Source organism: Homo sapiens, chromosome 9 (genome assembly GCF_000001405.40).
Source record: "Homo sapiens chromosome 9, GRCh38.p14 Primary Assembly".
Taxonomy (NCBI): Eukaryota; Metazoa; Chordata; class Mammalia; order Primates; family Hominidae; genus Homo; species Homo sapiens.
In genome coordinates, this window is record NC_000009.12 from 92,347,566 (window position 1) to 92,365,458 (window position 17,893).

General features: G+C 39.2%; 1 protein-coding gene across 7 annotated transcripts in view; it reads left to right on the plus strand.

Moving 5' to 3' along the window:
* The window catches only part of CENPP (centromere protein P), a 295,062-nt gene that overhangs the window by 22,098 nt on the left and 255,071 nt on the right, over positions 1–17,893 (plus strand). Inside the window, exon 6 of one of the 7 annotated variants that reach the window (XM_011518685.3) lies at positions 2,351–2,580. The exons of the other annotated variants lie outside the window; for them this stretch is intronic. Within the exon in view, the coding sequence (XP_011516987.1) occupies positions 2,351–2,463 (113 nt within the window). The 3' untranslated portion in view covers positions 2,464–2,580. Of the gene's footprint in view, positions 1–2,350; positions 2,581–17,893 lie in introns of those variants that run through there. 7 annotated transcript variants of the gene reach the window in all.

The following is a 17,893-nucleotide window of genomic DNA, read 5'->3' on the forward strand; positions in this document are numbered from 1 at the left end:
AATGTTATATGCCTAATTATGAATTTATTTTTAGTTTTTCATTATAGATCTGTAGTTTTTCAGACAGGATTGGTATCTTTAGGTTTTGAAAAATTTTTAGTCATTATTTTATTGACTCTTGCTTCTACCTTGATCTTCCCTTATCACAGTCTACTTTCACTTTAAATAGTAAGCATTTCACATGTACTATAAGAACAACAGTATACTTTCCATTTATTTTCCCTCAACCATTGTATTATTATTTTCATATAATTGTCATACACTTTTACATGTTCCAAATGTCTCAGGGCATTGTTACTATGTTTGCCTTAGACTGTCAATTATTTTTTAAAGCAATTAAAAATAAGACAAAACTTGTTTTGTTTTGTTTTGTTTTGAGATGGAGTCTTACTCGGTCACCCAGGCTAGAGTGGAATGGCATGATCTTGGCTCACTGCAACCTCTGCCTCCCAAGTTCAGGCAATTCTCCTGCCTCAGCCTCCTGAGTAGCTGGGATTGCAGGCATCCAGCCACCATGCCCAGCTAATTTTCTTTCTTTCTTTCTTTCTTTTTTTTTTTTTTTTGTGCATTTTTGGTAGAGACAGGGTTTTACTACATTGGCCAGGCTGGTCTTGAACTCCCGACCTCAAATGATCCACCCACCACGGCCTCCCAAAGTGCCAGGATTACAGGCATGAGCCACCGTGCCTGGCTGACAAAACGTGTTTTTGTATATTTATCTTCATTTTTTCATTTCCAACATTCTTCATTTCTTTATTTCATTCTTCATTTCATTTGATTCAGATTTCTAACTGCTATGCTCCTTCTTCCTTAAGAACTTCCTATAACTTTTTTTTTTTTTTTTGAGATGGAATTTCGCTCTTTTTGCCCAGGCTGGAGTGCGATGGCACAATCTCAGCTCACTGCAACCTCTGCCTCCCGGGTTCAAGTAAATTTCCTGCCTCAGCCTCCCAAGTAGCTGGGACTACAGGTGTGTACCACCACACCCGGCTAATTTTGTATTTTTAGTAGAGACGGGGTTTCACCATGTTGGTCAGGCTGGTCTCAAACTCCTGATCTCAGGTGATCCACCCGCCTTGGCCTCCCAAAGTGCTGGGAATACAGGCGTGAGCCACCGCACCTGACCCTTTAACATTTCTTACTGTGCTTGTCTGTTGGCCGTAATATCTATCAGCTTTTGTTTCTCTGGAAAGGTCTTAATTTTGCCTTCATTTTTTGAAAGATATTTTTGCTGGCCATAGAATTCTGAGTAGACAGGTTTAAAGATAAAAAACATATATCTTTAAACATACTCTTTCATAATCTGGATTGCATAGGTTGTGACAAAAAGACTGCGATGATTGTTATCTTTATTTTTCTGTATTAGTGTGTCATGTGTGTGTGCTTGGGGCAGCCTTAAATCTTTCTCTTAATTTTGTGTTTCTGTAGTTTGTGCTATGTTTAGGGTATATTTGTGTGAAAATTATCAACCATGTCTTTTAAAGTATTTATTTTGCCCTGTGTCACTCTAATGACACATATGTTAGACTATTTGACATATTGTCCCAGCATTTGGATGCTCTGTTCTATTTCTTTCATGCCTTTTTTCCTTTGTGTTTCAGTTTGGATAATTTCTATTAACCTATCTGCAACTTCGCAGAGTCTTTCCTCTGTTGCAGTACTGTCTGCCAGTGGGCCCATTTAAGGAGTTCTTTATGTCGCTTGTAATGCTTTTTATTTCTTGTGTTTTCATATTCCCTTGTATGAATGTACCATAGTTTGTTTATTCATTTACCCATTGAAGGATATCTGGGTTATTTTCAGTTTTTGGTGAATATAGCATATTATATATACTTTTTTTTTTATTTTTTTTTTTTTGAGACGGAGTCTCGCCCTGTCACCAGGCTGGAGTGCTGTAGTATGATATCAGCTCGCTGCAACCTCTGACTCCCTGGTTCAAGTGATTCTCCTGCCTCAGCCTCCCGAGTAGCTGGGATTATAGGCACGCACCACCACACCCAGCTAGTTTTTGTATTTTTAGGAGAGATGTGGTTTCACCATGTTGGCCAGGATGGTCTCGATCTCCTGACCTAGTGATCCGCCCACCTCAGCCTCCCAAAGTGCTGGGATTACAGGCGTGAGCCACCACGCCTGGCCTATGTATACATTTATGTAGCATATTATAGTGTATAATATAGCATATTATCTTTATATATGTTTGTATGTATACACACACATACACATGCATTCATGCTGCTACAAACATTCATATGCTATAAATATGTATATTACACACACAAACATACATGTATATGCTGCTGTGAACATTCACTAGAGGTTTTTGTGTGAATGTAAGTTTTCTTTTCTCTAGGGTACATAACCAGAAGTGGAATTGCTGAGTCGTATAAGAGTATGTTTAAATTTATAATAAACTGCCAAACCGTTTTCCAGAATGACCATACTGTTTTGTATTCCCACCAGTAATGTGTGAGAATGTCTGTTAATATTTTTGTGAATTAATTTCTGATGGTCACCTAATTTTAGATGTAATAGTCCCAGGAATTTATTGTTAGAATAAAATTTTGGAATCTTTATCCTAAATTTCTCTTTGTGTTCGCTTTATACTTGAGAAGGAGACATTTGGAGTTATTTTTGTTTCCTGACTACTTTAGCTGAAATTGAAATGGGTTACTGCCAACATTTTATGAAAGAAATCCATGACATCTGTTTTACGTTTAGTGAAGTTTGGACTTTGCTTAGGAAAAATAGATAAATTACAGTCATTCTTACAGCTGTGAGAGCCAACACCCACACCCACACACAAAATTTCTTTCTATATGGAAAACTCTTATGTGCTGTAGTACAGTATCCTTTATGAAGATGCAAATGGAAGAATAAAGGAATTGTGAATTTTTTAAAGTTCATTGTAAAAGAACAGTCTTTTCTTCTGTGTGTATGTGTTTAAACTTGAGTCATCATAGCTTTTAAGATTATTTTCATGGCTTACTCCCTCATCACATGATTAAGAGTTTATTTTTTTGCTCACTTGTTTGATGGAGAACGAAATATCGTGTCACTGTGGCCTTTAAGCGTGAATGAACTAATTTCTCCTCTTTGTAGGCCCATACTTTTTGGAAAACAATTTTTTTCAGATGTTTAAATAATTTTTAAAATAGTTATTAGACTGACTTTTAACACATAATCTCCAGTGTTCCCTATAAACTACATGCTTATGCAGCTTTGTGTTAATTCAGCTATTATTTTATGTTCTTTGTTTTCAGTGAATCTACTTGGTTTTTTTGTTCACTATTGCCCAGGCTGGTCTCAAACTCCTAGGCTCAAGCAGTCCTCTTGCCTTAGCCTCCCAAAGTGTTTATCAGGAATTAGACTAGCACAGAGAACATGAAATCATTTCCTGAAGCTTGAGCTGACATCTGAAAAATGAGTAGGTGTGAACTAACACCTACTAACACCCTTTCTTGCCTTCTTTTAGATTATTTAACTTGTTTTCCTATTTTTTTACTGTGGCAAAATACTTACAAAATCTACCAACTCAACCATGTTAAAGAGTACACTTCAATAATAGTAAATACATTCATTATGTTGTACAACCATCACCACTATCTGTCAACATAACTCTTTCCTCTTTTAAAACAGAAACTTTGGCCAGGTGTGGTGGCTCACGCCTATAATCCCAGCACTTTGGGAGGCTGAGGCGGGTGGATCATGAGGTCAGGAGTTCAAATCCAGCATGGTGAAACCCTGTCTCTACTAAAAATACAAAAACTAGCTGGGCATGGTGGCACGTGACTGTAGTCCCAGCTACTTGGGAGGCTGAGGCAGGAGAATCGCTTGAACCTGGGAGGCGGAGGTTGTGGTGAGCCGAGAGCACCACTACACTCCAGCCTGGGTGACAGAGTGAGACTATCTCAAAAAAAAAAAAAAAAAACCAGAAACTTTGTACCCATAAACAATAACTCCCACTTCCTCCCTCTCCTCATCCACCATTCTACTTTTTGTCTGTGTGATTTTGATTAATACTATCTAAGTATTAATCTAAGTACCTCATATAAGTAGAATCATACAGTATTTGCCTTTTTTCTTTAGATGGAGTCTCGCTCTGTCGCCCAGGCAGGCGTGCAGTGGTGTGATCTCTGCTCACTGTAACCTCTACCTCACCAGGGATTCTCCTGCCTCAGCCTCCCAAGTAGCTGGGATTACAGGCACCCGCTACCATGCCCAGCTAATTTTTATATTTTTAGTAGAGAAGGGGTTTTGCCATATTGGCCAGGCTGGTCTTGAATTCCTGACCTCAGGTGATCTAGCCATCTCGGCCTCCCAAAGTGCTGGGATTACAGGCGTGAGCCACTGTGCCTGGCCAGTATTTGCCTTTTTTGACTGGTTTATTTCGCTGAGTGTAATGTTGTCAAGGTTCATCCATGTGGCATAAGTCAGAATTTCTTTTTCTTTTTCTTTTCCTTTTTTTTTTTTTTTTTTAAGCACCACACAAGCTTTATTTGCACCATCTATATAAGATAGTCCTGGCCATGCACAGTGGCTCATACCTGCAATCCCAGCATGTTGGGAGGCCAAGGTGGGCACATCACCTGAGGTCAGGAGTTAGAGACAAGCCTGGCAAACATGGAGAAACCCTGTCTATACTAAAAATACAAAAATTAGCTGAGTGTGGTGGTGGGCGCCTGTATCCCCAGCCACTCGGGAGGCTGAGGCACGAAAATCGCTTGAACCGGGGAGGCGGAGGTTGCAGTGAACCAAGATTGTGCCACTGCACTCCTCTGGGTGACAGAGCAAGACATCATCTGAAAAAACAAAACCAAAACCAAAAAAAACTAAGATAGTTCTGTGAATCTGTCCCATTGAGAGAAGACAGGGCCTTTTCTCTCAAGCCTGTTGCTTAAAGCCTGTGTGTGTGTGTGTGTGTGTGTGTGTGTGTGTGTGTGTATACATATATATATATATATATATATATATATAATATAACGGGGAGTTTATTAAATATTAACTCACATGATCACAAGGTCCCGTAATAGGCCGTCTGCAGGCTGAGGAGCAAGGAGAGCCAGCCTGAGTTCCAAAACTGAAAAACTTGGAATTCAGTGTTCAAGGACAGGAAGCATCCACCACAGGAGAAAAATGTAGGCTGGGAGGCTAGGCCAGTCTAACCTTTTCATGTGTTTCTGCCTGCTCTATATTCACTGGCAGCTGATTAGATAGTGCCCATCCAGATTAAGGGTGAGTCTGCCTTCTCCAGCCCACTGTCTCAAATGTTAATCTCCTTTGGCAATACCCTCACAGACGCACCCAGGATTAATACTTTGTATCCTTCAATCCAATCTAGTTGACACTTAGTATTAACCATGACAAGTCCACCCCTTGTCAACTTGAACCCATACACATCTCCTAAGATCATACATAATCTTCAAATAAAGACAATAATAGTCATAATTGTGCCTAACATACAACTATCCTTCATAAAACCAGAAACTCACCAATCCCCAACCCAAATACTATTACATAAAGTTGATAATACTTAAATGCTGATATGAAGTCAATAAATCATATGTCACATGATAAAGGAAAAAGGAAATAAAATGAAAGTACTTTCTTAGTGCAAGTGTATACATGCACAAACATATTTTTAACGAAAGAAGAAGGAAGTACTCATGACAATTACAGTCCCCGTTTCTGCAGCTGGTCATGTGGTCATAGCTGGTACTGATGACTCCCTTCTTTTACTACCCATTATGTATTCCCTTTGCGTTCAGCAAGCACCTCAGGGGGTCGTGTTTTTTTCCTGATGGAGCGACCCAAACCTTCATTCCTGAAGGATCTGGGCCATTTGTAGTCCTGTTTGGATTGGGCTGTCGTAGTTTCCCATTAACCTTACTTACAGGGCTTGGTAATACTAAGAGAAGCCGTAATGAATCTCTGCTATTCCATGCATATTCTTCCTTACCTCCATTGTGAAGTAGTAGAATGATTTCATCTTGATAGTCTGGGTCAGTCATCCCAGCCAACACTGTAACTCCCTTCTTAGCCTGTTGACTTAAATGTAGGAGGAGCCCAAAGTGTCCAGGTGGCAATCTTAACTTCCAGTTTAATGAGATCTTTGTTGTGTCTCCTGGAGGCAGCGTTCCTCCCTCTGGAACTAAGACCTCTAGGCCAGCAGAATGTAATGTCGCAGGAACAGGAAGCAAAAATTTTGCCAGTAGATCACTAGGGGTGTTGGTGAGTGGTGCCACTTCAACTTCCACCCCTTGATTCCTGGACCCATGAATCTTGGCTATGGAAGAAACAGTACCATATATTGGATGCTGATTCAGAGCATACATGGCCTTCTGGAGAGATTTGCCCCAGCTTTGCAAAGTATTGTCACCTAGTTAGCATTGTAATTGTGACTTCAAAAGGCCATTCTACTGTTCTGTCAATCCAGCTGCTTCAGGATGATTGGGAACATGGTAAGACCAGTGAATTCCATGAGCATGAGCCCACTGCTGCACTTCTTTAGCCGTAAAGTGAGTGCCTTCATCAGAGGCAATGCTGTATGGCATACTGTGATGGTGGATAAGGCATTCTGTGAGTCCACGATGGTAGTCTTGGCAGAAGCATTGCATGCAGTATAGGCAAACCCATATCCGGAGTAAGTGTCTATTCCAGTGAGGACAAACCTCTGCCCTTTCCATTATGGAATAGGCCCAATATAATCAACCTGCCACCAGGTAGCTAGCTGATCACCCCAAGAAATGGTGCCATATCGGGGGTCAGTGTTGATCCCTGCTGCTGGCAAATTGGCCTTGTCAGACGTGGTGAGTGGAAGTCCTTGTTGCTGAGCCATGCGTAACCTCCATCCCTGCCACCATGGCCACTTTACTTTGTTCATGGGCCCATTGAGCAATGATAGGGGTGGCTGGGGAAAGAGGCTGAGTGATGGATTATCCTATCCCTTGATTATCCATCCTATCCACTTAAAAATGCTAAAGGAAGGGGTCTCACTCTGTTGCCCAGGCTGGTCTTGAACTCCTGGACTCTTGCTATCCTCCTGCCTTGTCCTCCCAAAGTTCTGGGATTATAGGCATGAGCCACCACACATGTCCTTGCAATTTCATTTTATGCCACTTTAACTTAAAAAAAGTTTAAAAGACCTGTGTTTCTTTAGAGCTCTGTCCCCTATTGGGGGAACCCACCCCCAATATTTCAGCATAGGTTCTTTCTATTTTCCATAAGTGTCGGCTGGCTGAGAAATAAAGAGAAAGAGTAAAAAGAGAGGAATTTTACAGCTGGGCCGCTGGGGGTGACGTCACATATCAGTAGGACCGTGATGCCTGCCTGAGTCTCAGACCAGCAAGTTTTTATTAAGGGTTTCAAAAGGGGAGGGGGTATAAGAACAGGGAGTAGGTACAAAGATCACATGCTTCCAAGGGCAAAAAGCAGAACTACTAATAAGGGTCCAACAAAGATCACAAGGCAAAGGGCAAAAGCAGAACTACTGATAAGGGTCCATGTTCAGCGGTGCACATATTGTCTTGATAAACATCTTAAACAACAGAAAACAGGGTTTGAGAGCAGAGAACCGGTCTGGCCACAAATTTACCAGGGCGGAGTTTTTCCCCACCCTAGTAAGCCTGTGAGGGTACTGCAGGAGACCAGGGCGTATCTCAGTCCTTATCTCAACTGCATAAGACAGACATTCCCAGAGTGGCTGTTTATAGACCTCCCCCCAGGAATGCATTCCTTTCCCAGGGTATTAACATTAATATTCCTTGCTAGGAAAAGAATTTAGCGATATCTCTCCTACTTGCATGTCTGTTTTTTTTTTTCTTCAAGTAATTCAGCCACTACTTTAATACCACACTCTACATAAAACAAACACATTAAATGCCAAGCTGGCAGAGCCTCCCAGTATGCACTACAGCTGCAAAAATAATGACATGGAAGGTTTCTTTTTGAAGGCTGAATTATTTGAGAGAAAATCAAACCATTTCTTTTAGACCAATCTAGCTGAACAAATAAGACTTCTGTAAAGATTAAGGAGTCTATAGCACAAGAAATGCAGCATATTCATTTGCTATAGCTTCTACTCTTCGAATTTTACACTGGAGACCTAAAAAAAGAATAGCTTAAGTCTAAAATAGCCCATTATGAGACATTTCATATGCATAAATTCTCAATATTTCATAAATACTGTAACTACCAAAAAATCATTCATGCCTTAGATTTAGCAAATGGACCCTTGTGGAACATTGCATTTCTCAACCTGAGCAAACATAAGTTAAATATTTATAAAACAAAATATACTGAAACTATTTCAATTCTTGTAGGGGTAGAATAGACACTTTAAAGGAATCAGCCTGAACTTAGGAGTCTTCTGTGTATTAATAGTGAATATGCATATGCAAAAACTCTACAGAAATATTAAAATTGATAGAGTTTCTAAATTTTCATATCATATCAGAATATATAAACACAGGGGTTAGTCAACTATTTTACTAACTGATTGATATTGTCAGTCAGTATTGATTAGTTTGGTATTTAAAAATATATGGAAGTAAACTAAAAATAACTACTGCTTAGAAAACCTCAGCTGATATGTGGAAGGATTAGATAATTGGAACACTACAGAAAGGAGCAAAATGAAGAGTAGAATTCTCTGTCACTCAACTAACCCCATCTCTTTCTCCAAAGGCAGCCACTATTCAATTTTACTTCTGTTTCCTTCTGGAAAGGGTGAGAAAAAGATTTATTAATGTAGCAACAACTTGCACATCTGTTTATAGGCTCTCTGCAAGAAGAAAAATATGGCTCTTTTTGCCCGACCCCACAGGCAGTCAGACCTTATGGTTGTCTTCCCCTGTTCCCTGAAAATCGCTGCTATTCTGTTCTTTTTCAAGGTGCACTGATTTCATATTGTTCAAACACACATGTTTTACAATCAATTAGTACAGTTAACACAGTTGTCACAGTGGTCCTGAGGTGTCGTACATCCTCAGCTTATGAAGATAACAGGATTAAGAGATTGAAGTAAAGACAGGCATAAGAAATTATAAAAGTATTATTTGGGAACTGATAAATGTCCATATCAAAATGAAATCTTCACAATTTATGTTCAGAGATTAAAGACAGGTGTAAGAAATTATAAAAGTATTGTTTGGGAACTGATAAATGTCCATATTAAAATGAAATCTTCACAATTTATGTTCAGAGATTAAAGACAGGTGTAAGAAATTATAAAAGTATTATTTGGGAACTGATAAATGTCCATTTTAAAATGAAATCTTCACAATTTATGTTCCTCTGCCGCAGCTCCAGCTGGTCCCTCCGTTCGGGGTCCCTGACTTCCTACAACAGTCCCCAGCCTTTTGAATTATTGATGTTATGAACTTGTATATTTATATGTTGTGCACCCCAAAATGTAAACTAATAATTCTTTAAAATGCATTAGTTTTTTAAATTACATAGAAAATAATGTGGAGTCACAAATGAAAATTACATTAATACTAGCTTTTAGTCTAATTTTTAAAAAATGTATTAGTCTGTAAAATCATGTAGGAAACAAAAAGTAGAGTAACAAACTATTGTTGCAAAAATACTAGCTTTTATAATTTCACATGTATTTACCTTTATTGAGTCTTTTTTTTTGTTTTTTTAAACTTTTTACTTCTTTTGCCTTTTTCCATATGTTCTAAGAGTCTATTTCTTAATATGTCTTCAGGTTACTGTCTAGTGTCCTTTCTTTCACTCTACAGAATTCTCTTGACCATTTCTTACAGAGAAAGTTTAATGATAACCAACTCCCTCAACTTTTGTTTGCCTGAGAATGTCTTAATTTCTCCTGCACTTTTTTTATTTTTTGTTTTATTTTTCTTTTCTCCAGCCACATCCCTTTGATCATCTCCCTCATTATTATTATTATTATTATTATTATTATTATTATTATTATTATTATTTTGAGATGGAATTTCACTCTTGTTGCCCAGGCTGGAGTTCAATGGCGCGATCTCAGCTCACCGCAACCTCTGCCTCCCGGGTTCAGGTGATTCTCCTGCCACGGCCTCCCAAGTAGCTGGGATTACAGGCATGCGCCACCACTCCTGGCTCATTTTTTTTGTATTTTTATTAGAGATGGTGTTTCTCCATGTTGGTTAGGCTTATCTCCGATTCCCGACCTCAGGTGATCCTGCCTTGGCCTCTGAAAGTAGTGGGATTACAGGTGTGAGCCACCGCACCCGGCCACTATCTCCCTCACTTTTTAAGGACAGTTTTGCAGAATAGAAAATTCTTGGTTGACAGATTTTTTTTTTTCTTTTAGCACTTTGAATATATGACCTCACTGACTTCTGGCCTCCATACTTTCTGATGAAAAATCTGCTGATCATTTTATTGAACATCCCTTGTATGTGACCAGTCTCTTTTCTCTTGCTGCTTTCAAGATATTCTCTCTTTGTCTTTGTCTTTTGACAGCTTGATTATAATGTTTCTCTATGTGGATCTCTTAGTTCATCTTGGAGTTCTTTGAGTCTCTTGGATGTTTTATATTCATATCTTTCATCAAATTTGGGATGTTTTAACACTTTATTCTGTCTGCTTCTTCCTCTCTTTTTTTTTTTTTCTGAGACTCCTACAGTGCAGAAGTTGGTAGTTTGTTCTCTTGACATGTCCCCATGTCCCACAGTTTCCTTACATTCTTTTTTTTTCTTTTTAATGGAGTTTCCCTCTGTCACCCAGGCTAGAGTACAGTGGCGCAATCTCAGCTCACTGCAACCTCCACCTCATAGGTTCAAGCAATTCTCCTGCCTCAGCCTCCCGAGTAGCTGGGATTACAGGTGCCTGCTGCCACATTCAGCTAATTTTTTGTATTTTTAGTAGAGATGGGGTTTCACCATGTTGGTGTGGCTGGTCTTGAACTCCTGACCTCAAGTGATCCACCCACCTTGGCCTCCCAAAGTGCTAGGATTACAGGCATGAGCCACCACGCTCAGCTAGTTTCCTTACATTCTGTTCACTTTTCCTCATTCTTTTTTCTTTTTATTTCTCAGACTTGACAATTTCTATTGTCCTATCTCCAGGTTTGGTGATTTTTCTTTCTGCCTACTCAAATCTGCCTTTGAATTCCTGTAGTGAATTTTTCATTTTAATTATTGTACTTTTCACTTCCAGAATTTCTTTTGGTTTTCTTTTAGGTTTCTTTCTTTGTATTGATATTTCTATTGTGTTCCTGTATCATTTTCTTAACTTTCTCCAGATCTTTCTTTAGCATTTTTAAGATGGTGGTTGTAAAGTCTGTATGGTAGATCTACCATCAGATTTTTTTTCAGGGATGCTGTCTATTCATTTATTTTTTTTCATTTCACGAGGCCATTCTTTTGTATCTCTTTTTTTTTCTTTCTTTCTTTTTTTTTTTTTTGAGATGGAGTTTCGCTCTTGTTGCCCAGGCTGGAGTGTAATGGCATGATCTGGGTGCACTGCAACCTCTGCCTCCCAGGTTCAAGCGATTCTCCTGCCTCAGCCTCCCAAGTAGCTAGGATTAAAGGCATGTGCCACCACACCCAGCTAATTTTGTATTTTTAGTAGAGAGGGGGTTTTGCCATGTTGGTCAGGCTGGTCTTGAACTCCCGGCCTCAGGTGATCCGCCTGCCTTGGCCTTTCAAAGTGTTGGGATTACAGGCATGAGCCACCGTGCCCAGCCTTCTTTTATATTTCTTTGTATCCCTTGTGTTTTGTTGTTATTGTTGTTGAAAAGGGCTCATTTGAACCTAATAATGTGGTAACCCCCAAAGTCAGATTCTCCCTCTTCCCCAGGGTTTACAGGCTTGTTATTGTTATTATTTATTTTATTTATTTATTTATTCATATTTTTGTAGGCCATCTCTGTGCCAGGGATTAACCTGAGGTATAAACTTAAGGTCTTCTCAGTTTGTTTCTGGGCTTGAAGCTTTCCATGGGTATGTGCAATCTCTTACAGAATCTCCCCTTATATGCAGTTATTTGTCAATGTCCTAGTCTTGATTGTTCGGCTCTTAGAAAGGGGAAATGAAGAAAATGAAGGTGGGAAAAAAGGAGCTCTGGCCTTTTAAGTCCCCTGGAAATCACTTCAACTGGAGGAAGCAGGGTTTTCAAAAGTGTGGGGATGTGTAACTACAATGGCTGCCTGACTCTTTGTCTACACTTCTGTGATAAGAAGCCGCAGTGAACAAAACACAGATCCTTTATGGCTGGAGGACAGGGTCCTTTTTTTTTTTTTGCTTGCTCTGGCTTCTATAAGCTGTGTGTAAGCTGCTCTGGTTATACTCACATGACTGCCTGCCAGGGGGGTGGGGGTGAAGAAATGGGTAGCTGCTGCTATACTAAGAGCTGAAATTTGCTAAAATTAATCACAATTTACCATCCAAGCCCTTCTCCAAGCCTTTGCCTGGATGTTGCCAGCCTTCATTAGACTCAGAGTTTCCAAATGGTTATATCAAACAGATTCTGCCAGTGAAATTGTTATATAAGTGGAGAGATGGAATTCTGGTACTTCCTATTCTGTCATCTTCTCAAAACCCTCTCCTTTAAATATATTTTAATATTCTCTTTTAATTTATTTCATTCACGTTTTGGCTATATTTGTATTATTTTTTATTGGCTGCTGTGGGGATTATAACATACGTAACCTAACTTTTAACAGTCTATTTAGATTTGATACTTTACCACTGCAGTTATAGTCTTGTGGTCCTATAACCACATGGATCACTTCCCCTTCCTGCTTCATGTGGTAGTTTTCATGTGAATTATATTCACATGTATGTGCTGAAAAACTCCATTAGTCCAGTCTGAGCAACAAAGGAAGACCCTATCTCTACAAAAACAACAACAAAATTAGCTTATTGTAGTGGGGTGCACTCGTAGTCCCAGCTACTTGGTAGGCTGAGGTAGGAGAATTACTTGAGCCCAGGAGTTCGACAGTGCAGTGAGCTGTGATTATGCTATTGCACTTTAGCCTGGGAGACTGAGACCCTGTCTCAAAATATAATAATGATAATAATAAAACTCCATTAGATAACATTATAATGTTTTACTTCAACTGTCATACATACTTTAAATAACTTAAGAAAAGGCTAATAGTTTGTCATATTTCTCCAGATTTTTATTTTTTATTTTTATTTATTTATTATTATTATTTTTTGAGATGGAGTCTTGCTGTCGCCCAGGCTGGAGTGCAATGGCGTAATCTCAGCTCACTGCAAGCTCTGCCTCCTGGGTTCACACCATTCTTCTGCCTCAGCCTCCCGAGTAGCTGGGACTACAGGCGCCCACCACCACACCCGGCTAATTATTTTTGTATTTTTTAGTAGAGACAGGGTTTCACTGTGTTAGCCAGGATAGTCTCGATCTCCTGACCTCGTGATCCGCCCGCCTCGGCCTCCCAAAGTGCTGGGATTACAGGCGTGAGCCCCCGCCCCCGGCCATATTTATCTAGATTTTTAATGTTTCTGCTGCTGTTCTTGATATGGAGCCTTTTTAGGACATGTTGCATGTATCATGGCTCATTTCCCATAAATACTTAAGTGTGTATTTTTATTATTTTACTTTATTTATTTATTTATTTATTTATTTATTGAGATGGAGTCACACTCTGTTGCCCAGGCTGGAGTGCAGTGGCAAGATCTTGGTTCACTGCAACCTCTGCCTCCCAGGCTCAAGTGATTCTCCAGCCTCAGCCTCCCTAGTAGCTGGGACTACAGGCACATGCCACCACATCTGGCTAATTTTTGTATTGTTAGCAGAGACGGGGTTTCGCCGTATTGGCCAGGCTGGTCTCGAACCCCTGACCTCAAGTGATCCATGCACCTCAGCCTCCCAAAGTGTTGGGATTACAGGCATGAGCCACCGTACCTGGCCTTATTTTATTTTATTTTATTTTATTTTATTTTATTTTATTTTATTTTATTTTATTTTGAGATGGAGTCTTGCTCTGTCACCCAGGCTGGAGTGCAGTGGCACAATCTTGGCTCACTGCAACCTCCGCTCCCCAGGTTCAAGTGATTCTCCTGCCTCAGCCTCCTGAGTAGCTAGGATTGCAGGCATGCACCACCACGCACAGCTAATTTTTTTGTATTTTTAGTAGAGATGGGGTTTCACCATGCTGGCCAGGCTGGTCTCGAACTCCTGACCTCAAGTGATCCGCCCACCTTGGTCTCCCAAAGTGCTGGGATTACAGGCATGAGCCACTGCACCCGGCTCAAATGTGCAGTTTTAAGTTTAGAGATATTCCCTTATATAATTACAGTGCAGTGATCAACTTCATAAATTGACATTGATATGATACTTTTATCTAATATGCTTTCCATATGCCAGTTTTCTTAGTTGATCTCATAATATCTTACATTGCATTTTCTTTCTCCTTGAACCTGGGGAGTGGAGGTTGCAGTGAGCTGACATTGTGCCACTGCACTCCAGCCTGGGTGACAGAGCAAGACTCCATCATAAAATAAAATAAGATAAGATAAGATAAAATAAATTCAAGTATTGCATTTAGTTGTCATGTCTCTTTAGTTTCCTTTAATCTGGAGTTATTCCCTAGCCTTTCTTTGCCATGTTTCACTTTGTCATCTTTTTAAAAAGCTCTTCCTGCAACCATCCTGAGCAACAGAGCAAGGCTCTATCTCTTCAAAAAGTTAAAAAAAAAAAATTAGCCTGGCATAGTGGTGCATGCCTATAGTTCTAGCTACCTGAGGGGCTGAGGCAAGAGTATCATTTGAGACTGCAGTGAGCTATGATCAAGCTACTGCATTCCAGCCTGGGCCACAGGGCAAGATTTGTCTCTAAAAAAAAAGTTCTTTCCACTTTTTTGTTTGTTTCTTTTTCTTTCTACTTTTTTCCCCCAATAGAATGTTTCTTATTTTGTCTTTGATCATCTATTGTGATCAGTTGATGCTATGCCTTCTTAGGCAAATTCTGCATAGATGATATTTTGTCCTTCTCAGCATAGCTGTCCCTCATAGGTGATATTAAGTTTTTCACTCAATGAAACTGTTGTATTTCTCCACTATATGATAACTAATTTTTTCTCCTTTGGCTCCAATATGCAATCTGTGGGGACAGACTTGATGACCACACAATTACTACTCTTTATTAATATTTCTTCCTCAATTTAGCATCTATGATTATTCCTACCTTATCTACTCTCTACTATGATGTTTGCAAAATGATGATTTTTCAACTCTAGCACTTCCTCCACATTTCTCAGTAGGCATTTGGCATTATGCTTAAGAAATAGATCACCATTCTCTATGTATGTATATGTATCCATATTTATAATATGTATGGATTCATTCATTTCTTTTTTTTCCAACGATTTATAATTTCTTAATCTTATTTTGGTGCTCAAAGTGTCCCGGATTTGATCAGAGGGAATCTCTTTAAGCCGGCTCCTGAATCCATGTGTTAATTCCTTATTATATTTTTGAGCACTTCCTCATATTCTGTCATTAAAAGATTTTCCAGGCTCACAATATACCTGTCCTGCCCTAGGTGTAGATTCAGCAATTTATCTGAGGAACCAGAGTTTCTTTTTGTGGGAAATGGCATTAGAGACTGAGATCTGACACTAGGTCTGTTCATTGCTATTGGAGTGTCTTTGCTTCTTGGTTCTTTCAACAAACAGTACTAGGAAATATGTATTTATACATATATACACACACACACACACACACAAACCTGTATGTAAGAAATCATGATTCATATAATATTCATGTGCACAAATAGTCATGTGCCGCATAACTACTTTTTGATCAGTGACAGACTGCATATACAAAGGTAGTCTCATGATTACATTACTGTATTTTACTGTACCTTTCCTATGTTTAGATATGTTAAATGCACAAATACTTAACATTGTTTTACAATTGCCTACAGTATTTAGTATAGTAATGCTGTATAGGTTTATAGCCTAGGAGCAATAGGCCATACCATATAGCCTCGGTTTGCAGTAGGCTGTACCATTTAGGTTTAAGTACACTGTATGATGTTCCTATAGTGAATAAATCATCTGACAATGCATTTATCAGAATGTATCCCTGTTGTTAAGCTACACATGACTATAAATATTTACAAAATTATGAGTGTACACCAAGGCCTCCAGTTCTACTCTAGCTTATCCCCAGTTTATAGTATGTATGTGTTTATGTGTCTATATACATACTATCATTTCACATTTCTATGTCCTTTCTTCCATATTGAGAAACTTGGCTCCTAGAAATATCAACAAAGTTATTCATTTGCTCAATCCTATTGGGTTTTTTTTTTGTTTTGTTTTTGTTTTTTTTGAGATGAGGTGTCACTCTGTTGCCCAGGCTGGAGTGCAGTGGTGCAAACCCGGCTCACTGCAACCTCCACCTCTCAGGCTCAAGTGGTCCTCCCACCTCAGCCTCCTGAATAGCTGGAACCACAGGCATGCACCACCATGCCCAGCTAATTTTTTGTATTTTTGGTAGAGATGGGTTTTTGCCATGTTGCCCAGGCTGGTCTTGAACTCCTGGGTTCAGGTGATCCATCCACTTTGGCATCCCAAAGTGCTGGGATTATAGGCATGAGCCACTGTACTCAGCCAATCCTGTTGTTTCTTGTAGTGAAGGCCTGCTTTTTTTTTTTCAATTAGAAAAAAAAATTTTTTTAGAAATGGGGGTCTCACTATGTGACCCAGGCTGGTCTCACACTCCTGGGCTCAAGCAGTCATCCTGCCTTGGCCTCCCAAAGTGCTGGGATTACAGATGTGAGCCACTGTGCCTGGCCTAATATTCTGCTTTTAATGGAATTTTTAGCTTTTTCTATGATTTTGGTCTTAAAAGTCTTTATTTCATTTTTGGTTTTGAAAGATATCATTCTGGGTATAGAATCCTTGGTTGACTGTTTTGGTTCTTTGGGTTTTTTCTCCTGAGTACTTTGGAGGCATTTGTCTGTTGTCTTATGGCTTAACAGTAAATTTGCTGTGATTCTTCTTTATGTTCCCCTGTGTGTATGGAACTGGTTGTTGTGTTGGATACACAACTCTATTCATTTGGCCAAAATCATAAAATTAAGAAAAAGAGTGAATTTTACTGTATGTAAATTCTTAAATAAATAAATACATATATGTTAAAAGCATATTATGTACTTTGCATTGTATTAGTCTCTAAGAATACAATGATGAACAAGATAATTTTCAGTTTTATGAAGCTTACAACCTAGTGTATGCACAAAACCAATGATACATGGTAATTGATGGTAGAGTACATGCTATAGGAATATAAATGCATACAATGTCTACTCTAGGGGAGAGGGAGGGATAGTATTAGCCCCAGGTAACCTAGGAGAGTGCCTTGTACATGGTTGGTGTTCAAACAGTTCTTGAGTGAATTGTCTAACAAACCACTTGAAAATATAAGACCTGAAGTTAAGCAGAGATTAGACAGACAAGTCGCTAGTGTTCCTTCATTTATCCAGCAGTTACGTGTTGCCTGTTCTGCAGCCAAGCATTGTCGTTGTGCTTAATATGTAGCAGTGAACAAAAGAAAAGCCCGTCTTCATAAACTCAAGAGATTTATTTTCTAGTAGGGGAAACAGGCAATAAACAAAACAGATATGTAAAATAAATAATATATTAGATATCGATAAGTGGTGGGGAGAAAATAAACAAGGATGGGCTGCACAGGAGGAGGGAAGGTATGCATTTTTAAATAGCTTGACTGGGGAAGGCCTCATTGAGAATGTGACCTAGGAGTACATGGAGGAGGTTGCCTGGCCTAATCATATCAGTTTGTTATCAACCCTAGGTACTCTCTAAAAATGTATCAATGTATCAAATTATGCCTTGTATTATAACTACTCTTTTTTTTTTTTTTTTTTTTTTGAGACAGAGTCTCGTGCTCTCACTCACGCT